At 40.4% G+C, this 25,669-nt stretch overlaps 2 annotated features.

The window, feature by feature from the left end:
- Positions 4,753-4,856: a silencer, noted in NCBI's record as "fragment chr2:103785519-103785622 (GRCh37/hg19 assembly coordinates)". NCBI's record gives its function as "represses an EF-1alpha promoter that drives an FKBP-Casp9 reporter gene in an ReSE screen in phorbol 12-myristate 13-acetate-treated (for megakaryocytic differentiation) K562 erythroleukemia cells {active_cell/tissue: K562(+PMA)}" and the evidence as "EXISTENCE:reporter gene assay evidence [ECO:0000049][PMID:32094911]".
- Positions 17,893-21,679: an enhancer, noted in NCBI's record as "VISTA enhancer hs1581". NCBI's record gives its function as "enhancer in: eye[7/8]" and the evidence as "EXISTENCE:transgenic organism evidence [ECO:0001131][PMID:17130149]".

The raw sequence follows: 25,669 nt of genomic DNA, 5'->3' as shown, positions 1-25,669 counted from the left end.
ATTTCCTTCTGGCCCTAGTCAATATATCTGCATTTGTTCAGCAACTAAAAGATGAATCCTATTCAAGTCCCCTATTCACGGCATCCCTATTTCAGTTATCAAGGAGTTTTAGGTTACTTATAAAACTGAGTATTTAAAATGGTTTTTAGATAGGCAGCATTCTAATGTTGTGAAAAATGAATTGGCCAAAATACTTGTTCTAGGGCTTAATTTATTTTTATTGGCAATATAGAATGCAAGGGCAAGACAGGACGTCTGAGCTTAGATGGCATCTCCTAGCTCAATCACACTGCAAATTTGAGAACTAAATTCAGAGACATGAAGTGACATTCCCAATGTCACTCAGCAAGTATTTGGAAGATTCTAGCCAAGTTTTCTTCTTAACAGGGCAACACTCTGTCTGCATAGAAAGAGACAAAGGAGAATGGAAGACACCAAGTGCAAAAAGAACTGTACACTCTACTTGCGTTGTTAAAAAGATGCAGGTGAGAAACACATGACCCCTTCTATAGGAAAAAACATCTTAAAGGAAAGAAAAAGGGACGGTCCATAGCACCTTTAAATTCTAAGTTGAAAGGAACTGCCTAGAAAAACACAGGATATAGAATCCAAGGCCATTTATTTAATTCTTATATTAACCAGTTTCCTATGTGTGGTCCTTAAACATCCTAAACATCAGTTTCCATTCCCATAAAAAGGCAATAAAAATAATATCTGTTTTGCCTTCTTTCACTGGGTTGTTTTCAGGTAGTGATGTAATTCTGTATCGAACATGCTAAAAGTCAGTCTGAAGAAGGGGCGGGTGGTAGAAAGGCCTTAGTGATGTCTGAGTTGAAGGTGACCAGTGATTAGCAGTGAGTCAGAGAAGGGAAGTGGAACTACATTGTGCAAAGGCCCTTGAGTGAGAAGGCAGAGGTGGTACCTGGAGAGAGCTGCCAGCAGGCCCTTGGCCAGGGAACAAGTACAGGGCAAAAGGGCTGGCTCTGCCAGACAGAAGGTCAGGGCTTTGTCCTGCAATCTGTGAGGGATCTCTGGAGGATTTAAAGCAGGGGTAGTCACTTGAATTTTAGGTCTTCAGTTGGGACTACCTCTCAACAAATAATATCAACAATCAATTTGAAAGAGACAACCTCAAAAGCAAGGCAGTGATTCGGAGCCTTAGTGAAGACCTCTGCTGAGGCAATATATATATATTACAAGAGAAAAACAAACAACCCCATCAAAAAGTGGGCAAAGGACATGAACAGACACTTCTCAAAAGAAGACATTTATGCAGCCAAAAAACACATGAAAAAATGCTCACCATCACTGGCCATCAGAGAAATGCAAATCAAAACCACAATGAGATACCATCTCACACCAGTTAGAATGGCGATCATTAAAAAGTCAGGAAACAACAGGTGCTGGAGAGGATGTGGAGAAATAGGAGCACTTTTACACTGTTGGTGGGACTGTAAACTAGTTCAACCATTGTGGAAGTGAGTGGGGCGATTCCTCAGGGATCTAGAACTAGAAATACCATTTGACCCAGCCATCCCATTACTGGGTATATACCCAAAGGACTATAAATCATGCTGCTATAAAGACACATGCACATGTATGTTTATTGCGGCATTATTCACAATAGCAAAGACTTGGAACCAACCCAAATGTCCAACAATGATAGACTGGATTAAGGAAATGTGGCACATATACACCATGGAATACTATGCAGCCATAAAAAATGATGATTTCATGTCCTTTGTAGGGACATGGATGAAATTGGAAATCATCGTTCTCAGTAAACTATCGCAAGAACCAAAAACCAAACACCGCATATTCTCACTCATAGGTGGGAATTGAACAATGAGATCACATGGACACAAGAAGGGGAACATCACACTCTGGGGACTGTTGTGGGGTGGGGGGAGGGGGGAAGGATAGCACTGGAGATATACCTAATGCTAGATGACAAGTTAGTGGGTGCAGCACACCAGCATGGCACATGTATACATATGTAACTAACCTGCACATTGTGCACATGTACCCTAAAACTTAAAGTATAATAATAATAATAATAATAAAAAATAAATAAATAAATAAGGAAAGGAGGGAAACTGGAAAACTTGAGAGGAATTAAAAAGTCTGAGTCTGCAGAGCCTGCTGAGTGACGAAGGTGAATGACTTTCAGTTTTCTGGTTATTGGCTGGATAATGGTGATTCTATTGAATTGGAGATATTGTAAGGGTGGGTTGGATACAATGTGGAATGAAGTTTTGGACATCCCAGGGGGAAAATCTAAAAAACACACTCTTTAAGGAGCTGGACTTTGGGGTCAAGGAAGACATGGGTTTCAGTCTTAGCTCTAGCACTATCGGGCATGTATGAAATAATGATGTAAAGCACTGAGACGGAGCCTGGAACATAAAAAGAGCTACACAATTAGGTACAGCGTGATGCTGATGGTAGTGGTGGTTGTGGTTAAGGTGATGAGTCAGTGACAGCCATAGATCCAGGTAAGACTCTGAAGGAGAGAGCTCCTGGCATGTCATGGTACACTTAGCACACAGATAACATTGAAAAGATGAAGAATCAGATCACTCATGGGTCACATTCATAGTTAGGAAAGAAAGTTGGGGAAGACTCAGCCATACAGGACAACAATACTTAAAAGAAGGACAGATGAAGAGAAGTTGACCTTGAGAATAGTTGACAGAGAGCTAAGAGGAGACTTCATTATTGAGTGAACAATGATGAATAGCAGTTTTCCACCTCAAGTGTAACTTTGATGAGGACAAAGACTGGGTCATGATAGTGTTTATATGGCCAACCACAGTATACTTCCTGGATTAGCTTAGATGCTAAATAAAAGTTAATTGAGTCAATGAACTTGAATACAATATCATGTTTACTATGGGCCACCTTAATGGCCTCCACACATCCCCTATGTTCAGGTTTCAATCCATTTGTATCCAGACAACATAATGCCTAATTCAGTGATTCTTAAAGCTTTTAATTATGCTTTTTGTTCTAGGACTTATGAGACTTTTCACAGCACCAATCTTGTCGTGGGCGGGAGTGGGGATGTACAGTTGTAAGTATAGGGATACACACGTCTCTGGTGGCTTGGGGTGACATATATAAAGATTGAATTATGTTCATAATTTTGAAAGAGGGAGAAGTCAGAATAACACCAATTTTTTTAACTTGATTAATGACTAATTTGCTTCACATATTAAATATAGTCCAACACAAACAGGTATTTGGGATAATGATACTGTATGTGGAACATGTGAAAAGACAGAAATTTCAAGAGAGTCTAAAGGCTTATCAAGAAACAAGGGATAATAATGTGGGGGGTCCTGGGTAGGAGAGAAATGCATGGAAATGGGCAGGGGCTATGATACTGGACTGACTTTCTCCTTGGAACTTAGGAGTTCTTTTGGGTTATCTCCCAAATACCTCTACTATCCCTGCTCGGGTGATAAAAATACCACTTTAAGAAATTTAGAATCTTGATATTCTCTTACAGAGAAAAAATATGAGTGCTACCTTGCTGGACTAAACACAGAATCATAGATTTGGAAGCTTAGAAAACTATAAGTTGACCATTCAGTCTCTTCCCTGGCTTCTAAGAAACCTAAATAGTCTAGTTTGTCTTTTGGGAAGGCTAGGTGAAATAAAGTAGAAAACATAAATTTTAGAGCCAAACATTTTGAATTCCAGCAGAGTGACTGCATGTCCTTAGGCAAGCTGTTTGCCCTCTCTGAGCTTCCTTTCCTTTTTCATTTATCAAATGATGAAATGTCAATGTCTAACCTTTTTCCTCCTGGGAGACCTAAGTTAAATGACTTATAGAAAGCATCTTGCCCAATGTTCATCAGTAAGGAGGGAATCAGTGATTTCACCTTCATTCTTCCTATCTGAGTCATGTATAGTCATGAACTAAAGGGTGGGTTGAGAATGTGTGAACTCAAATAATCTATGCAAGAGTTTATTTCTTGCTGATAGTATATGTAGAATAGGGTCAACTCTAATGATTTGCTGAACAGCTCAGGAAATGGGGGATCCCTCACCTGTTAGCTGAACCATCTGAAGTCCTGGCCCTGCATTCCTCCCCACAATAGGAAAAGAGAAAGCTGTCAGGCCACACACCTGATATTGAATGATTTGACTCAAAAATGACACTTGTCATTTCCACTCACCTAACTGCATAGCCCATTGAGCTTCAGAGAGACTTGAAAAATGGGGGAGTACATGGATATTTGGTGAGCAGTAAACGTTTCTACTAGAGTTATAGAATGATGTAAGGCATTCAGCTGGAACTGTAGATGCCATACATCTAAACCTTAAATTAGAAGATTTGATATAATCTCCATCCCATCCACAACCTTTTAAACAATCAATTCATTTCATGCTCAGCTCATGGTAAAGAAGATTTCTGGAACAAACACAGATGAGCTTGCTCACTTTGCTGGACTGGGAACAAAACCAGTGACTTGCTTTGTTCTAGGGGCTCTCTCTAGCCCTGAGCCTTTTGGGGTCACTCTGGAAGGGTAGACCTGCAGTGACCATTGGCCACGGTCCCCTTCATGTCCTGTTGGTCCTTCATTTATCTACTCTCTTCTCCTCTTTTCCCTACTAGTGCCTCAGCCTCTGTATTTGATCTTTCTGTCTGTCAGGCTGATTAGCATACTTTGACAGATTAAAAGGCTAAGGTCAAACCAACAAACCCCTAAAGAAATACGGCTAATTATTGTCCTATGCTTTTTAAATACTTTTGCTCTTCAAATAATTTAACAAGCAATAAAATTCAACTTTGTATCCCAAGGGTTGTTTAATGTTGTATTAGAAAAATAAATCCTTTAACTTTCTGCATTCCATGTGGTGGGAGAGCAATGAACTGTTGTGGGGTTGTCAGTGGTAATCGTCTCCACTTCTGGAGTCTCTAAAGTGACACAAAATGGCAGACGGAGTCTTGCAAGCAGTGCCATGTAGCGACCTGTGGAAATGACACTGGTTTCGCATTCATACATCGTACCCATAGGTAACATCGAGACAGGAAGTATAGCTTACAACCCTAAGAGGCAGGGTAGTGCAGTGGCTAGGGCACAGACTCTGGTTGAGATTCCTTGGTTTGAATTCCAGTCTCATCCTGTGTGAACTTGGAGATGTCAGGGTGGTTGTTTATTTTCTCTATGCCCTGATTTCCTGATCCATAAAATGGGGACTTAGTTATAATAATAGTACATATCTCATCAGGTTGTTGGGAGAATTAAGAAGAATGGATTTGGAAGGATGCCTGAATTGTTCACTATCAGTAATTCCTTGGCTTGATATTCCCAACACTATTTTATGAGAAAGCTGTTAACCAATGTGATGCTCGGAAGTATACTACATGTATTGTCTCACTTCTAAAGAATTAGTCATCGGACGATATGCAAGGTAACATTGCCAACCCTCCTCCACTGCAGGTAAATCACTCCCTGGCCCCCAGACAGCACTGATTAGAAGCATTGTCAATCGTACTTCAGCCCTGCTACAAGCCAAGGCTAGGAAGACAAGGGTCGGGAATGCAGATGCGCAGTCCTACTCACCCTCCAGATTTAAAAAAAAAATCAATTTACAAGATGATAATGGAGTGAGGTTTATTGTGCTGCCCCTCAAACGACTGTACAATTCTGTGATGAGCAGTGGCTCAATACCAAGTGGCTCCTGGCAGGGCGGGGGCAGGCCTGGAAAAGAGCAAGCTGGGGGTGGGCGGGTGGAAATGCAAGGGAGTGAGGGGAGTGAGGAAGAGGCGAAAGCACTCAACTCAAAAGCTAATTACTCCACATATTTTGAAAGATAAAAACAGGATAGCCTCCAAGTAAGAGGCATCTAATAGCTCAAGAAAGTCTCCAGTGAAGCCGTTCACTACAGGTGAAAGGCCCAATTACCAGATCAAGTGGCTACATTATCAAAAATTATTCTATTGATTTCAGTGAGGTGCGTTTCCCTGCGATGATTGCCACCATCTGAAATTTCCTTTCCTGCTGATTTGGAACATGCCGCCCCATCTCCGTGCTTCAAGTTGTTCAAGATGCGTTCGCATGTGTGGGTAAGCACAGCTCAGCCTGCTGTGAGAGTCTGGTTAGCACAGGCTGGAAAGGCAGGCAGGCCGCCAGGTGCCCAGGGCCAGTGGCTCTGTCACTAGTAAGAAATTAGGTGCAACGGGATGTCATTTGCATAGGCACTTTCTGAGTTCTGGATTTCCCGCAATGTTTCCTACAAGGGATGCTACTTTGGGGAAAGGCCCCCATGAATCCAAGGTGAACTTGCAAACTTCAGTGGTCACAGCCTGGAAGCAGAAAGATAAAGCATTAAACTTCACACCTGGGCACCATAGGGGTGAATTGGGGTCTACATTTGAGGAAGGTGGGGAATTGGGAATAGAGATCTTTCTAATTTCATTCAAATTACCCAGTACTTTCTATTTCTAAAGAATATTGTGAGAAAAAGCACATTTAATCGAACAAGGTTCCAACCAAGTAAAAACTGGAAAGGAATCTTAGAAGTCATTTACTTTCTAGGAAAATCAAATGTTCTTTTTACAAATTTCAATATAATGCCATTTTAATAGTTCAGCTAGATAATTTCCTTAAGAATGTTTTTTTTTGGGGGGATCCAGAGATGAGTGGACAATTTCCACTTGCCTGTGGGTAAAAAGTGGAATGAATTCCATGCCTATCTTCCCTCCTACGTCTACCCACATCCCTATTTCCTGGATACTGTTCTTGGGTTCACAGTTGGTTAATGTAAAACCAGGCTGGAATAGGATGTCTTGCAGCTAATGTTTAAACTAAAGCCAAGAGAAAGCACCTTTCTGATGCTGGTGAACTTCTACCCCATATGGGCCCAGGGAGAGCTATTGTGTACACGAATAAAGGCACCAAGGCAGGGTGGTGCAGTGGAACTTTAAGCCAATTATTCCCGCACTTGCTCTCCATTGGCTGCCTCCTCCTTCCTGGGACTCCTCAGGCTGATGCCCAACATATTCAAATCTTCCCCTAAAAGGTTTAGTCTAGGTTGCTTCTTCAGTACTGTTTGAACATTAAATATGCAAATAATCATCATTACACTTCCAACAATTACACATGTTTGCGAGCACCGTGTCAAGTGCTGGCAGCAGAGCAATCATTTGTAAAGACAAATATTCCATTCCAAGAGATGTCATGCTGCTTAGAAGATTCTTTTTTGTATTAGTAGCCACACTGCTGCTTCCTAAAGTGTGCAAATGAACGTGACAATGCTGCCAGGAGCTGCCAGGCCCTTCCCCTCCGCAGAGCAGGTGCCAATCACCCATCCCACACAGCAGAGGCCCGGCCTCACAGCCCAGGGACACTGAACATGGCGAATGTGAGGAGGCCCTCCCAGGAGGCTCCCGGGTCGGCTTCTCCCTCCTGCGGCCCCCTCCCCTGCCATCCCTCTTCTTTGAGGGGGCCTCAGGCCTTCAGAATATTTTAATTCCTGATTTCTGACTATATTATCATGTGTTTGTAACAGATGAATTGTCATTTGTAGCTCAGAGGTGATGTGAAAAACTGCCTGGAACCACAGGCCTGGTGTTGCAGCGGAGCAGGAATTCTTTCTTTTCTGTGCGTTTTTACCTCTCCTTATTATTATTTTTTCCCTTTCGCCCCTCCCTTCCCCTTGCTCCCTGCCTTTCCCCTCCTGGTGTTTCACATAGTTATGGATAATTGTCACCATTTTCTTTTATCGCATCCAAAGTGGCGGCTTAGAGGGGCCTGGACTTGAGTCAGGACTAATCTTGCCTTCTCCCAAAGTAGGAAAATCCCAAGTCTTGCAGGGCCCAATTGATAACCCTTGTGCTTCTTTTCCATGAAAGACGGATGGCTCTGGCAAGCTTGGGAGACTGCAGATAATGGGATTGACTTGGTACTTAAATCTCAGTGAACCAGGACAGCATAAGTAATTAGTGAATTGGATCCATCCTGGGGTGCTAATGATGGCTAAGTCTGCCCCCACGCCATTCTGAAAACGACAAGAGGCACATCCATCTCACGCAGATAAAAACCAAGGGGACACTGCTCACAGACACCATTTATTCCTTCTTTAGTGCACAATTTATCCTAGAAGGGAAAAAAAAAATCTAATTTTCCTCAAGTGATACCCAGAAGACCAAGTGACCAGGCTCCCACCAGAGTTCATTTTGATCACAATACTGCTCCTGTTTTTAATTAAGAAAGGCTAATTAAGAAAAACTCTACATTTATCTTCTTATCTACTTGTCAACATAGACTCTCAGACATTACCTATATTTGTTTACAATTTGGTTACTGGCTTTCTATCAGTGAGCCGGTGATGATTCTTGGTTTATATCAAGGTCGGTATATTATAAGGATTTTGATAGTGTTTTTAAGAGTTGAATAAGCACAAAGATAACTTTTAGCACAGAGGATCCTAGTTTACACGCACACACATATGTATGTAAAATACTAGTTGCATGATGTGTCTTTATGTTTTTCCTCGGTTAATTCAAGTGGAAGGCATGTGCGTAGAGTCTGGCCTTCTCGCTCATTTTTCTTTTTACCCAGAGTGATGGCACTTTATCAGGATAATTTAGATAAATGTCTTTTCATGGAGTTCACTTATCCTTCCAGCAAACATGATCGACAAAAAGCCACGAAAGACGAATGACATTGCATTTTGATCAAACGTGTGCTCTGTCAATGTAGGAGAATCTCAAGGTGGTCATGTTCCTTTTTTTTTTTTTCTTTTTTCCACCTAATTTGATCAACATTCCCAACAATGAAAACATCCACAAAATACAGTTCTGTGGAGATGACCAGGGCTTCTAAGAATGAAAAGTGAAAACCTGAAGCAAATGGATCTCAACTCACAAGTCAGCAGTAATCCAACGTGCCAGCCTGACAATTCTTATGTAGATTGATCAGAAATAAATGCGACAGACTGCGTGTCTCCTTTCCCAGCTTTGTCATGGCAAAAGGGCGCTACAGCCAAAAACAAGCTCTGCCTTTTTAGTCCATTTGAGTCCATCTCTTCTGCAGTGCTTGCTTGCCTTTCTTTGAACGTTTCATTTGGGGTCCAGCTGGAGTTATTACAGATAACAAGATAAGCCAAAATAATTGGTTAGTTAAGAAGGGTTCTTGAAACTAATTTTCCTCCCTACTCCATCTACCAATCCAATCCTTTTTTTGTTTTAACGTGAGGTTTCTTTGCATGACCCTTAAGTTTCATGATTACTGGCTTCTTAGAAGGTATGCTTGTGTCGGCACATGGAACACACACATCAGTGAGTTATCATATCAAGGACTGATTCCCCTGAGACCTTTCTTAATATTTAATATTTCAGGAGAAAGCTGATTAGGCAAGCACTCCTTTTTCCCTCCCAATCTGTAACTGATTAGGTGGTATTTAGACTTATGCAGGATGAAAGGGGACAGGCTCTCACTGAGGAGAGTGAGGAGTTTGAGGAAAGAGTGAAATTTCGTTTCTTCCTGGCATGCATGAAGTTCTGATTTGGCTTTTTCTAGATATGGACTTTCCTAAGTTTTAGTTTGCCTGAAATTTGACTTTCACTTTTAAACTGGACTAGTTCTTATCAATATTCATGATTCAAAAGTGTCCGTCTCCCTTGAGCAAAGAAAGTTCATGTTGATCATATGACTTTGCACAGAAGCAATCTCATGCGTGTGTTGAATGTGTGTGTGACAGATATTTTTGAGTATTGCTTGAAACAGTTCTTTTCACTTATCAATATGGAGTTTTATTCTTAAAATATTTTATTATCTTAATTCATTTCTACCTATGGCAAGGAATAATGTTGACTAATAAATAACTACAGTTTTTCCAACTATCGCTCCTCATATAAGTGTACGGTTTTAGAATTCAGTGTACCAGCACAATAAAATTTTAAAAATATATTTTATAGTTATTTTGAAAGAACTAGTGACTTGTTAAAAATGTCATTTTTAAATTTTAAATATAGCATTATATGCAAGAGGACTTGAGCTGAGGAAAAAAAATACATGCTTCTCTTCTGAAAAAAGTGGTACTTCTATAAGGTATTTCTGTGGATAACTAATATGTTCAAGTTATTTAAGAAAAACTTCATTAAAAAAGTTACAAGATACTGAAAGCAAATACGAACTCGTATTTGACAGCAAAACGTGTAAGATCCTTGATGTTGCCGTCCGATTACCTAGGTATGAATTGTAGCCTCGCTACTCATTAGCTGTGTCTTCTTTGGCACCTTCCATCACCTCTATGTTACTCAATTTCTTCTGCAAAATGAGAACAATAATTGTACCCATCTCATTGGGCTTTTGTAGGATTAAATCAGTATAGTCTCTAGCACATATTAAGCACACACACAAGTTGTATCTTATTAATAAAGGTAAGTTTTATTTTTTCCTGTGGATAAAAGATTTCACATTTCTACCAGACACTCTAAGGCTCCTTTTGCTAAAGAGAGAATAGCCATTTTACAGATAATATTTGTAGCATGCTGATGTTGGTGTTCCTAAAATGCATGAACCCTGTGATTAGCCTATGAGACTCCTGTAGGTCTAGAACAGGGCTGGTCAGCCCTGCATCCTCCTCAACCTTCGTGCAATGCTCTGCTCATAACGTGCCTGCATTTAATGTCTATTCAAGGAAGGATGTGCTCCACACCTAGTCCCCTTCCCCTAGAATCAGAAAATATCTAATAAATGTGACATCTACTGACATAAAATATGATTTTTTAAAAAGTCTATCATTGAAATTAAAAAATGGGGCTTCCCTTTACATAGTGCTCGTTGTGAACAAATTATCTGATTTTGTATGGTCCTAATTGTGGGTGTGTACATAAAAGAAACAAATTGAAGGTTACCTTAATACTACCTTATTATAGACACAAATTAATGGCAAAATGGAAAGCAATATTTTAGATATAAATTTTGGTTTTTAAATGTTTAATTGTTTGTTCCTTCTTTTTTTAAACTGGTAAATATGGGGCACTAAAAATGACTTCTGCCTTTCTTCATAGATTAATCTGCACAGTAATAAAAATTTTAGCATTTTGAAATTTTAAGGAGAAAATATTTAATAAGAATTTTAATGTATTTTGGCCATGATGGCTTTATTATCAAAATTCACCATTTTTCAAGTTTGATACTCATTTTGGAAGAGATTTTGACTTGCGTAATTGCAATGAAGCAATGACTATATTGCTGTTTGAACTTTCCCAGACATAAATGGAGAGTCCCTTTTCTTCATGAGAAAATTGGGTCTTTAAATGGGATCCTGGCAGGTGGAATAGCCCCTCTGAAGAGTAGGGTTACATGGGCAACTTAGATGAAATCTATGAGGTATTCTTTCTATGAAAGAGACCAAGAGAATGGGGGGGGAGAGAAAATGTGACTGAATGATTAAATGAACTTCAGAAGCATTTTCATCTGGGAGACAAAGTGTGAAAGGAGGAATAATAAATGACTCTCTGCCTTTCTAGAAAACGGTTGGTATCCATTGTCTATTCTGGAAGCCATCTGATAGCCCATGCCATCCACCAATGGGTATAGAAAAGTTTACATAAAAGAAAAGGGGTCAACTCAGTAGAGAGAAGAGGCTTAGCCAAAACAAACTGAAATGCTTCATTTCACTAAGGTTTGATTAATACGATATTAGACACCTAAGACCGCTGAGACAAGAGCTAACTAGCCTTTAGCAAACTGCGCTGTGAATCATACTTCACACATCAAGATGTGAGGTAATGAGATTCTCAAAAAGTACTACATTTAGAAACAACCCCTTAAACTCGAACACACAATTCCCAACTCCTGCCAGTTCCTGGCACACTTCCATGGGTGAAGTTGGAAAGGAAGCTCTGTGCTGTTTTTTTTAGGGGTGGTTTTTGTTTGTTTGTTCCTGACCACTGATAGCATGAGCTAGCAGCTGGTGTGAGAATAAAGGAAAATATGTGTGTATTGGCAGCAGACAATTTATAACATGGCGTGATTATTCTCTCAGAGTCTTAAACATCAGAGCTTATGGCTTAAAAAATAATAATTCTAATTCACAAGGACAACTTTACAACTGCACACTGAAGGATTTTTGCTGCTGTTGTGTGATGTAGGATTTTTTAAAATCTAAGGGGATGGACCCTTAAAGATTAGTGTGAATTTGTGACCAACATGGTTCGTAATTGATCAATCTTGAACATTTAAAATTTTCCTTAAGGATTTTTCAGCCATCACAGGCCATTTTTAGCCAGGGAGTCAGCTCTGTGTAAACCTACATCTCCACCTAGTGGTGGCAGGGAACAGCTAATTACTTTCTACTACAAGGAAACTGAGATTTAGTCACCCTTGGCAGGCAGCATGAAAGTCCTTGGTCGCTGTGCAGTTGAAGTACAATATTTAAAGATAACATTTTAATCTCAGAATATTCTTAAATCCTTTCCATTGCCCTCCATATTTTCCTTCTCCTCAATCCTGAAAGCTGACATTATTAGATTGCAAAATAGCTGAAAAATATTCCTCCCACTCTATTTTTCATTCTTGCACTGTGCTCAAAGACTTTGACCAAAAACTCATTTGGGTAGCAACGGATCATCTTTGAGGATCCCCCCACCCCGCTCTGCTTCTTATCCTTTGCCAGCTCACTTTTGGCAGGTGTCTCCACAGCAAGGAAGACCAAACAGAAGTTTCCGTATAGAGGTCTCAAGGCTCATTTTCAGTCAGCTAGAAAAACTACTTATAATGCTCCTGCAACCCGCAGGTTAATGAAGGGGCCACCTCTGCGCTCCACATCCCAGGTCGTCCCAAACAGAGAAGGCACATCAAGACTCATTCTCACGCAGCAGAGATTCTTAGCTCTTGGCACCCGGCTTTCCCATTAAGCCCTGACCCCTGTGCTAAAAAACAACCAGTTAAACCACACTAATATATCTAAGGCTTATATGATTTGAATAATCAATAAACAATTAAGACTGTTTTGCTCCTTTAATACCAAAAGGACATTTGAATTCGGTCACAGCTAAAAGGAAATAGTTTGTTTTGCTTTTAATTTGATTTGCAAGATTACAGAGCATCTGCTCCTCAGAGATGTCATTTCAGCCAATTATATAGATTGTCTTCTAGTCGCTTTCTCGCCACTGGATTCCGCATTGGTATCATACACACCAGTGAAATGGAGGAGCCAGGCTTTTTGGCTGGAATATGTCTGGAAAAATTAAAGCTAACTAAAAGAGTCATTGCTTGCTAATCCCTGTAATTAAGCACTACTTGTAGGAGGGTACATTACACTGATTGAGGCTGTTGCCACTGTATTGGTCCTAAAAATGTTTAATAACCCTACCCTGTAATGTTGAATTTTTCACACCGGTTAATTAACAGGCACTAACTTATATAGAAGGCAGAAAAAAAGTATAAATTGTCAGTTTGCTTCTACTCTAGCCTATCTTTTCTCTAAACCTAGTGTTCTGGAATGTGGTTGCTTAAATTGCAGGAAAGCTCCATATGTTAAAAAGTGGAGAAAGAAAGGTTAGAACAAGGGGATTCTTAGAGCATTTTAAATTTTCTCCATGTTTAGGGCAAAAGGTACACAATTCTTTAGCTCAGACGTTTAAATTCATCTGCTGTCATCATCTGCGTTGCCATTAGCACAGATCAATAGCACAGTGACTTTTTCTTATAACTCTCCACTTGTTTCTCAAAATACTGCACTGACCGTAGGTAGGAGAAACTTTGCTTGGTTTGACTGTTAACGAATTCTCAATATGATGTTCTTTAAGTAAAAGAGAACTGTAGTTTACCATCTTTTGGCCTGATTTTTATAAAATTACTTTGAAATAATCAACACAACCTCACTCCTTGAGCATCCTTTGACTTTTCCCAGGCTCAGACATCAGTGATAGTGACCTGAACAGGAAGCATTCCAACTGAGGACATTTCAACCTTCCACAAAAGGACCAGTTCAGAATGAAGCACCAAAGAATCAGACAGATTCTCAAGACTCTGTCACACTGAAAGAGATTGGTTTTAGGTAGAGTGGGCAAGAAAAATTCTTTTGTGTGTATGGGGGCTACAGCTGACCATAGGCTTCTTGGAGTCCAGTGGATGCTCTGAAGCACAGACAAGGCACAAAAGTCAGTCTCTCCTAGTTAAGCCTGTGAATTTGATGCCCTCCACTGAATGAGCCAGGATGATCTAGTGAAGTGGGACCATAGCAGAGTTTCCACTAGGGCTTACAGTAGAACATACACACGTACACACATACACACACCCAGGCACATACACATGCACACTGCCTTTTCAGTTCATCAGCCTAACTAACATTCAATGACTCCCTAAGTTAACCCAGTTGTATTTTAAAATCGTTAAGTAAGAGTTGTAAACGTCACTCCACGGGTAATTTATGAGCTTGGATGTGTGGGGTTGCTTTTGGTGTCTTACGACCACCTGCCTCTCTCCCCACACCTACTGATCTAAGGGGAGAGGATGTGAAAGTTTCCCTGCTATCAAATCAACCCATCTGCCAACACTGTTATTAGCAAGGAACATATGTGGGGCATTGCTAATAAGTTTTTAAACTCCAGATTAGGTCCATGGTAAAAAGTATTTCCGGTTTATTAATAGCTGACTATTCTGGCCCCTGAGATAATAGTTACACTGCCTCTTCTGCTGTCACAAGGTGTCACTGTTAGGCAGGGACCTAGTAGAGCCTGGTGGGTACTTGTGCATTGTGGGGTAGATGCCTGCCATGGCCCACATCCCCGCCGGTTCTGTGGCAATGGCTTATGCTGGGATCCAAGGGCAGAATTCTGTTGGTACCCACTGGATGCTCAGCTCCCCCAAGCCCAAGGCTATCATGAGTCAAGAGCAAAAGGGCTTCCAAGCTCAGGGCCCCCACTGAGGAGGTCTTGGGTTCATGTTATCAGCACTGAACTTTCTCTAAACATTTCAGGGAACATAAATTTCCCACTTTGAACTACACTTACCAGGGGGATGGATCCCTTCTCTGCAGAACCCCCATATATCAAGGGCTCTTACAAAAAGTTCAGGCTTCAGTGAGCCAAAAAGCTTCTACCTTCCCCTAAGGCAGGGAATCCAATCTTCTTCATTTATAGAACAAAGAAGAGATTATTCCCCTATACAAAAAAGAAAATCCGCTCCCTGACTGGCATGAGTTTTTAAAATTCTATACCTTCTACTTTCTGTGTCAAGTATTGTGAACCTATGGTGAAATGCTCCAGTTCTTTTTTTTTTAGACGGAGTCTTGCTCTGCTGCCCAGGCTGGAGTGCAGTGACACAATTTCAGCTCACTGCAAGCTCCACCTCCCGGGTTCATGTCTTCCTCCTGCCTCAGCCTCCCGACTAGCTGGGACTATAGGTGCCTGCTACCACGCCCGGCTAATTTTTTTGTATTTTTTTGGAGAGACGGGGTTTCAACGTGTTAGCAAGGATGATCTCGATCTCCTGACCTCATGATCCGCCCACCTCGGCCTCCCAAAGTGCTGGGATTATAGCACACCTGGCCAAATGCTCCACTTCATTAATATAGATTATATTCTTCTCTGTGAATAGTAACTGAAACTTCATTCTCTGACTCCTAAGCAATAGCTTGGTGAAACTTATTTTGTAATGAACATAAGACCCAAACAGCAAGGCTCAGCCTGTCACATCACCCAAAAGCTGGCCTTCAGCAGGAGCTAGGTGGCTTCCCTGTTCCAGCAGTGGAAAGTTCTAGTCTAGAAAGGAGCTGCCAGCTATGGAAGTCCAAAACTGGGGGAGAGGGATTCCAACAAAACCCTACACCAAGGAGAAAGCCCTATGTGGATGGAAGGACCCACCACACACTTGATAGGTATTTTCCCCTATCATTTGCTTCATTTTTTTTTTTGAGATGGAGTCTTGCTCTGTTGCCCAGGCTGGAGTGCAGTGGCATGATCTTGGCTCACTGTAACATCCGCCCCCCGGGTTCAAGCAACTCTCCTGCCTCAGCTTCCCAAATAGCTGAGATTATAGGCACTCGGCATCATGCCTGGCTAATTTTTGTATTTTTAATAGAGACAGGGTTTTCCATGTTGGCCAGGCTGGTCTCGAACTCCTGACCTCAAGTGATCCACCCGCTTCGGTGCTTTGCTTTTATTTGTTTGTTATGTTGCTCCTTTTTTGTGTGTAAGGAAATTTAGTACCTCAATGAAGGAATATAAAATGGAAACCAAAAGAATTCAGTAACTTACTGACAACTTTCAAAATACAAAAATAACTCCAGAAGTGCAACAGGGTTCCCACATCACAGCAAGAAACCCAAACCGGAAGCTCCACAAAATATAACACAAGAAAAAATTAAGGAATTTGTGGAAATCAAAGGGAAGAGACTGAATCTATTTCCAGTGCTAAGGCATTCCAGGGAGCAGGCAACACACTGCACACACACACACACACACACACACACACACACACAAACCTATCAAAAGTATACAAAAAACTGTCCACTTCATAAAGTCAGAGATTTGCTCCTGAGCATGGCAGGGCGGGAGGTGGGTAGCCTAGGGTTTTCTGATGTCAAATGTCTTTCTTGTGAGGATAGGCTCTAAACAGAGTGAATTTTCCATTTGCTATACATGAAGCTACTAGAGCTCCGTGGAGTGGTTTAGAAAAATTAAACTGGATAGTCACTTTTTTCTCTTCATTCTCTAAGTAGTCCTTCAGTCCCCTACAGAATTTAAAGCTGTAATATGTTTGGAAGTACTGGATCGGTAGAATGGGAGAGAAGTCCAAATTTTGTGATCCCTATCTAAGGCAAACTGTATGAGCAAACACTTAGCTTACAGCTTTGGCCACTTTCTCCAGCTCCCTCAGAGAAATGCAAGATGCCAAGAGTACTTCATAAGTAGTTTTCTAGTGATCATCTTGAAATCCCAGTACCTAAATGATGATGGATATTATTAAGCTTTGGGAAATACCATTACCAGTCCCAAATTGAATCACAAAGTCTTGAAGTATGACATGGGAAGAACCCAATACACACCTAAATATTGGACTAAATTTTGTAGTTTTCTGCTCATGGTTGTTCTAGAAAAACAAACAAACTACAGTGTGAGGAGTTTGAAGCAGTGGTAGCCTCTCAACCTTAATGCCTTAATACCTTGTGGTTGTTTATAACAAGTATCAACACATACACTATTTTTCTATCTCCTGGTCTACATTTTGATTGGTTAAGAGCAACAATTACTGCTTTTCTTGGTATCTCTAAGGGTTACTGCAATGTGTGTCTTGGTAGATGCTGGGTGAATATATGTTGAGTTAATTGTTCTTAAAAATAAGATACAACAGGAGTGGATCTTATTAACTCTTGAAATGTGCTGCTTTATTCTGTCATTTATTATATGAGAGAGAGAGAGAGAGAGAGAGAGAGTTGAGTATTGTAAGTCTCTTTATTGCTCTTCTAAAAATTGAACAGGATAATTTAAATGGACTATGGACTAAAGAGAGATTAGAATGAATAAATTCTCAAAATCTAAGAATTATTCAATCACTTCTCACATAAACTTATATCAACAAGACTAATATTATTTGAATCAATAGTACTGGAATTCCAAAAAATGATTGCTTAAAATAATGTTAAGGCTCATGCTAAAATTTCTTCATAACAATAACTCAACAAACATTATCAACCTAAACCATCATTTAAAGCACTTCCAAATATTAACATATCCATACGTCCTCATGAAAGCAGAATATCCCAGAGTACACTAACTCACTGATGAGTCATCTGAAAGGGCATTCGTATAGATACTTTTGTTTCTGTCCTCTCTCAAGTTGAAAATCATAATAAAATTATAATGGCTTTGAAGTTGCAATTTTATTATTTTCTGTTTATGTTTTGTATTATTTTCAGATTTCCCTCTTCACTCTCCAAGGCCCCAAACTTCTCCCATGAATTTTTCTCTGGCACATTTGTAAATACAAAGTTACAGAGAGAAGGGCTCAGCCATGGCATGTCTTTTTGCCATCTTCTTCTTTATAGCCTTCTGCCTTTTACCCCCAAATTTTCAAATCGAAATGAAGAAATGTAAGCTGCAATACTCTACAAGAATCCCTTCTGTCTTCACCTCATAGTTTTCACAAATATTCCAGAGTTTGTGGGAAGGGGGAGAAACAGGGCACTTCATGGGGTGGACACATTGGAAAGGTGGGCTAAGCTCTAGAGGCATGGGGTGCAGTGGTTAAGATCACTTTTCAGCACCATCGCAGCTCATCTCCTAGATTTCTTGTTTTTAGAGTGGAAACAAACATTGTACTTGCTATCCAACTGCTGTGAATTAAATGATATTTATGGAGCACCTGGTTCAGCCTCACCGAGCTGGCGATGCTGGCTAAGAAGACAATCAGTTCTGTGGTCCTGGATGACTTAGGATGCCTCAGTTGCCACATACTTTTAGACATCCTCCTATTCCCTCTCATTCTCATTCTTATTCTCTCCCTCCCCTCCCCTCCCCTCCCTTCCCTAACCCCTTCCTTCCCCTAGCACCTGTCTCCCTCTCTTTTCTTATGCCATTTCTTTTCCATCTTTGTTGTTTTTCTCCTATATCTCAACTTCTAATTCAATGTAAAAGGAATGTCGCTATGTTTGTGCAGTGAGTTGAACCTAAACATTTTATCTGTCTAAACCTCTAAATATGAGCAGACAGAGCCCCAAGAAACATAGAAGTAAAGCACATATTGCAGTTGCTTATAGAGAAATGCTCCTTCTCAGGTGTCTTCCTTGAAAGCAGCAAATATCTTTATGGATATTAATATTAAAGCAAATGCCTTTATGAATATTGATCTTGCAGACCTACTCTTACTATGTTCTAGGCACTGTTCTAGGAGCAGCGTCATTTCATCATACAAGACCAAGCTGTGATGACTGTGCCTCCGGTACTCCTCACATTGACCCTGCAAGATGAGCGTCATCCCAAGAGGAGGAAACTGAATGAGCAAAATCAAGGCTCATACAGACTCACCAATGTAACCCAAGACAGAACAGAGCATAAAATTAGGTCTGTTTGACTCCAAGATCACATTTTCCCATTAAGTCTTTGAAAGATAAAATTCATATCTCAAGAAAAATGGTCTGAGTGACCTTCTAGACACCTGAGTAGAGATTTCTTTTCCTAAATCTAGCCACATTCTAGTGTGGTAGCATGAATTTGACATCCTGACCTTAACGGTGTGGAACAATCTTTTCACCCTAAATTCACAAGCTGTAACTGGAAGAGCTAAGTGTGGCTGACTACAAAGTGTTCTTAACCCTGGCAGACTCTTATATCTGCTTGCATCCATATCCCATACTCAAAAGTGCCAGGACCCAGCAGGGAATACTAGGACCCAGTTTGCATGGCCTTTTTTCCACTGTGCCTTTCCTGAACTGCTTCTTCTCTTAGGTCAGCCAAACTCTGCTACAATCTTCTCCTCCAGTCACTCTTCTTTCATAAATTTCATTCTTCAAGTCATAATACTATAATACTTTTCTTCCTTAATTATGTCTTGGAAACACAATGCTGAGGCTTGCTGTATGTTGAGACTATAATTCATTAGCACAGAATGATTGTGGGAACATGTCCTCACTTCTCATCAGCAATTGGAATGTGGATTCTCTTGCTGTTTAGTTTTCCACAATCTTTATGAAACAAAATGCAATATTCGTTTCTAAGGCTTTCCTGAGCAACTGTCTTCTAATGGGAAAACTTTAACAAAAAAGTATGTATCGCATGCCAAATAGCTAACCTCACTCTCATAAATATTTAGATTTTAGACAGAGTTGAAACATCATTTGTAAGACGGATGTGCTTCTTTGGCGTTCCAACAAGAAAATGTCTTGGGAGCTGAGCCCGTTTTTACAGCTAATGGGCCCAAAACCCTTGGTCATGTACTAGGGATTGGGTGGGGCAGGGGTGGGGAGGGTGGCAAAGAAAATCACTGTGTTCTAGAAAGAGGTCATCTCAGAAGAACTTCTCCAATATCATCTTTCCACTAAAGTCAAGATGAAACAGAAGAATAAATGTTTGGGAATGTGGTTTGGAAGGATCTCACGCTGCTGTTTTGAAGTGGTGCGTCCCTCAGAGAGGTTGGTTAGCATGGTGTAGTGACTGGCTCTCAGCGTGTGGCCTTCATGCCAGAAGCATCATCTGCTGGGAACTTGTTAGAAGTGCAGATTCTTAGGCTCTGCCACAGACCTGCAGAGTCAGAAGCTCAAGTCGGGGGAGAAAAGAGTGTTCTGTGTTCTAACAAGCCTTCCAATTGGCTCTGATGCACACTAGATTTTGAGAAACATAGTGGCTTATAGCCCTGGTATTAGAAAAACCTGTGTTTGAATCTTTCACCCTTATCCCTCCTCAACCCCCATACTACCCAGCTGACCCTTGGTGAGTGATATAATCATCTCATTCTCCTTATCTATGAAAAAAAGGATAATAGTACTTATTTCATAGGCTTGTTGTAAGAATGCATCGAGAAAAACATATATAAATTGTTTGCTCCAGTGCATAAAATAAGCAAACAGTGCAGTACATAATATGTATTATTATAAATAAATGGATATAGTTTAATTAAATAACCTAGATATAGACTATAAATGCATGAGGAAAAAAGGTAACATTTTTAAACAATGCATTTATAAAAGTCAAGACGACTTTGATTAAATTTGGATGATTAAAAGTAATCGTATGTGAAAATCATTTTTTTCCTCTCCTGTCAAAGAAAGATGAACTTTTTGAGGGTGTGCCACATGTCAGGGGCACCTTTTGAGCATTACTGTAAATTCCCTGGGCCCCTCCTTTTGCTCTGTCTGCTGTAGCAGAGACTACTTCTGAGCAAACGTTTGTCAGTTCTGCCAGGTGCAATGCTCAGCACCCAGACCTTGCACCAGGGCTACCTCTCTACCCCTTGTTTTCTGCTCTATGGTTTCTCTGACTTTATGGCCACAGAAGGCCTGAGAAGCTACTCAACATTCACCATTGTACAATTGGAAGTGCAGGAGAATTCATGACTGTGAAGCTACTAGAAATGGATGGGAGACAGGAGTCAGCAGGTTTCTCTCTTCATCCACTAGATGGATGGTTCTGACACACATTTCAAAACACCCTTGGGGAGATCAAGTGCCAATTCAGTGAGACACCTTCGGATTTGTTTTCTTTGCCTCCGTGCTGCAACCCCCACCCATCTTGCCCTCTACTCTTGCTCTCTGGGCTCACTTCCAAAGTAAGCCACCTACATCCAAAAGCTAGTCTCAGCCTCCATTAGAGAACCTAGGCTAAGTCAGCCAACTTCAGAAAAAAGGAATAATAACATAAAAGTTGATTTTTTTCAAAAATGTTCCTCAATAATTCTGGATGTAGACCCAAGATCCTTAAGCTGAGGTCAATGCATGCATTTCATATGGTTCCATAAAGCAACTGAAAATGTATCCAAATTTTGTGTATGTACATTTTTCTATATAGTATCTTCAGTAGTATTCAATGGGGTCTATGATTAAATAAAATTAAATTTTCTGTTCATGTCGGTGACTGGATAAATTACAGTACATTTGAAGGACTCGATTCTTTTGGAAGATTCATATTTCAAAATATTAAAGATTATTTGAAATGGATGAGATATCAATGAGGTCTTGTTTTCTGTTTAATTGTTTTGCTACGAGGATGAGACCACTCATTCTGTTACTTTTATGTCCAAATCTCAAGGTTTTGTTTGGGCCAACACAGATCTAGGTCTCAGATTTAGCCTCTGCCCATCTCCAACTTCATGTTCTTTCACCCTTGTTGATTTTGTATTACTTTGCTATTAATGCTTGTATTAGTCCATTTTGATGCTGCTTATAAAGACATATTCAAGACTGGGCAATTTACAAAAGAAAGAGGTTTAACTGGACTTACAGTTCCATGTGGCTGGGGAAGCCTCACAATCATAGTGGAAGGCAGGGAGAAGCAAGTCACATCTTACACGGATGGCAGCAGGCAAAGAGAGAGCTTGTACAGGGGAACTCCTCTTTTTAAAACCATCAGATCTCATTAGACTTATTCACTATCATGAGAACAGCATAGGAAAGACTTGCCTCCATGATTCAATTACCTCCCACCAGGTCCCTCCCACAACACATGGGAATTCAAAATGAGATTTTGGTGGAGACACAGACAAACCGTGTCAATGCTATAACAAATTACTGCAAACCTATGGCTTAAAACAGTACAAATGAGTCCTCATACAGTTCTAGAGGGTAAAAGTCTGAAATGTGTCTCCCTGGGCTAACATCAAGGTGATAGTTGGGTTGCATTCCTCTGAAGGCTCTGAGAAGAGAATCGATTTCTTTGCCCTGTTCAGCTCTTATAGTCCACCTGTATTCCTTGTTTTGTGGCCTTTTCCAGTCCTCACAGTAGCCGCTTGCTTGTGTCATCACTATTTACATTGACTCCTACTTCCCTCTTACAAGGACTCATGTGATTACATCGGGCCCATCTGGAAATCCAGGAAAATCTCGCCATCTCAAGATCCTTAGCTTAACCACATCTGCAAAGTCCCTTTTGCCATGTAGACCTTGCATATTCACAGGAGGTCAGGATGTGGCTATCTTTGCAGAGCCATTATTCAGCAACCACAGTGTTCTTTGACCACGCCAAGAGCACTCCACCACAGGAGATCTGAACATGCTGTTCTGTCTCCTTGGCCTGTTCTCCCTCTTGTTATTTGCATGGCCAACACCCCTCTTCATTCAACTGTCTGCTCAAATCTGACTTTCTCAGAGAACCACACCCCCCACCATGCTATCCCTTACCTTGTGATACTCCCCATCACTCACTATGCCCTTTCTCAGCTTTAGTTTCACTTAAAACAATTATATTAAGAAACAAGATGTTACATATACCTTTGCTGTTTTTTAAGAAGCCTGTGGTCTAGTAGGAAAGACACAAAAGTAGTTCAAAAAGGCAATGCAATATACAATATGGCAAAAAAGAATAAAGAGTGTTCTAGCTAAGGAAGGCCTGAGGAGGAAGACACTCACCAATTCTAGGGAAGGTAAGAAAGGTTTTGCAAGATTTTCTGTGAAAAAATCTCACCTGTTTGAATGGAGCAGAAGGGGTAAAACAATGCCCTGAGTCATGGTGGTACCTCTGAGCATGGCTGGAATGTTAACGTAGACCAGCTTCCCATGTGCTCATGGCAGCAACTGTGATATTGAAGGCCATGGCAACTTATTAGGGACTGAGTCCTATACTGTATTTGTCTCCTGCTCCCAGGAATTCCTGATCTAGAATGTTGGCTGCAGAAGGGATGGGTTCCCTCCCCTGCATTTTCCCAACAGCATTTCTTTTCAATGTATCCAGGTGCATCATTTAGTCTTACAGAGCTGCACTTAGAAATGTAGAAGCTGCTTTAAATTCAGGAAATATCAGAGATAGAGAGACACTTCTCTAAGGAGGCCTGTTTATATAACAGTCAGCAGAGATCAAGGAAAGTCTTTCTGGAGCTGCACCTGAGACCTGAGGTTTACCCCAAATATAGCCACTAGCAAGCCCATCTAACAGTTCCTAGTTAGTAGCTTTGTGTCTGCAAGTGTGGATCTTCAAAATCCTACCTCTGACTATTGCACTGCTAAGAGAGAGAAAGCACTGGAGAAAAGGCAAACTATGCAGAGATCTGCACTGGAAAAAATAAAATTTCATGGTGGCAAGTTCAAATAATGGAAATAAGGCACATTGCAGAAGCGCATATCACTGGAATCTGATTAGCAGAGTTTGAGCACTGGCTCCACCATTAATGAGCAGTTCACTACCTCATCTGAGACTCAGTTGCCTCATCTATGAAATGTGGATAATGATACCATTTGCTTTAAGTAGATTGAGGATAAAATGAGATCACCTGCATGAAGCACAAAGTAGCTGGCATATACTAAGTATTTAATAAGCTTTAGCTATTTCTATCATTTGTTTTTTATCATAAATATTTAGATACTAATCTTGGCACTGGCATTTGCTCTTCGATGTGGAGGTAGTCATATAAACCCTCTTTGCTCTGGTATTTTTCTTTTTAATTTCACAGATGAAGGTGAATTGCAGTGCAGACTGCTTTGTCTTTGTTGAAATGGTGAGGTGAGGGTACCTTCCCAACAGTAAGCTCTTTTGATCTTACCTCCCTAGAGGATCCAGAAGGCACTGCCTGGGCAAGGATGGAGGCAACCATGTGGTGATTCCTCAAGTCCTGTAGGACCAAAGACCACTTCACAAAGTCCAGTTTTCTCAAACATTCTTTCCAAGACAGGAATGTGATACTTGCTCAAGAAAGGGTGTTTGGTAACTTTTAAAATACACAATTCGCTTTTCATCGGAACCTAGGCATTTTCACGCCAGGTGCTGCTTATCTTCTGGAGTATTTCTATTTTGAAAGGTAAGACTTTGGATGAGGAGAAAAACATTTGGAGCCAGATGCTATCTTTGAAATTCAATTCCAAGTGCAGCTGCAATATTGTACCTGTCCAAAGCCACAAGTCTGCCCTTTTGGACAGACTTTGGGAATGCATTTCCCTATGAAAGGAGTTAACTGGTATGAGTAGTAATTAGCGATTTTAGTAACAGAATTCTATATATTCCTCCCCCTTTATAGTTTCTTGACTAAAGGGGAAAACGACAATGCCTTATATTTAAAATTACAAGAAAGGTGTCAGATCACTGTACCCATCAGATTTTAAACAAGGGCCTGGTGAATTAAGACGATGGCTCTTATAAATCAAACTCATTAGCTTTCAAACTTGGCCTTCATAAACCATAAAAAGCAAAATACAGCCGGGGGTAGGGGGAAGTGAATTACCACAAATAAGTCATTCCATTCTACCTCTGAAACTGAAACACATCTCTTCATTTCAGGTCAATTTATTCACGAAAGGAGAGAATCTTTGTACCTTCCCCGGTTGTCTTTATTTTTTAGGACAGCCATTATATACCCACAGAACCCCACCTGCATAGTTACTGCATATTTACAGCATGAAAAAGCAATTGTCCCCACTCGGTGCTCCTCCCAACAACTTGATTTTACTCTTTCTCATGTGGAAGGTGGTACCTGCAATGTTTTATTTAATGATGTTATCCTTGTGATTTTGTTTCAGCAATTAATTCAAATGTATACTCTGTGGAGCTGTCATTTGACATGGGTAGCCGCTGATGCTTCTTTTTGTGCCTACACCAAATGGCTTTCCAAATAATTTCAGTTCCTTTAAAATTAATGGAAGATTCTACCTAAACAAATAATCAAATAAAAAAATAAACAAATTTTCTAAAATTTCCCCACTGAATTATACGATGCCTTCTTGCTATGACAACTACTGTTCCTTAACCCTCCAAGATAAAATGCGGCTGTGGTGGTGTTTTTATTCTTATCCATTATTTATACAGGGCATGGGTGTAGGTGCAGCTCTGTAGTGGATGTGTCCATGCAACAGACAGAACAAAGCAAGAATTTTCCTTTGGGGGTTTACAATATAAATGCACACAAGGACACATGAGACAATGAACAGTGATAAAACACAATGCAATGCGAGCAATTTTGAGAAATGAGTGGTTATTGTAACGGAGATGCTTTGCGGAACAGATGGTTTTTAAGGAGGTTTGTGATGAAAGAAGTTGAGCAGGTTTGCTGTACATTAATAGGAG

Source organism: Homo sapiens, chromosome 2, assembly GCF_000001405.40.
Source record: "Homo sapiens chromosome 2, GRCh38.p14 Primary Assembly".
Lineage (NCBI taxonomy): Eukaryota > Metazoa > Chordata > Mammalia > Primates > Hominidae > Homo > Homo sapiens.
Note: the sequence above shows the minus strand (reverse complement) of the source record. Positions and strands in the feature narration are given on the sequence as shown.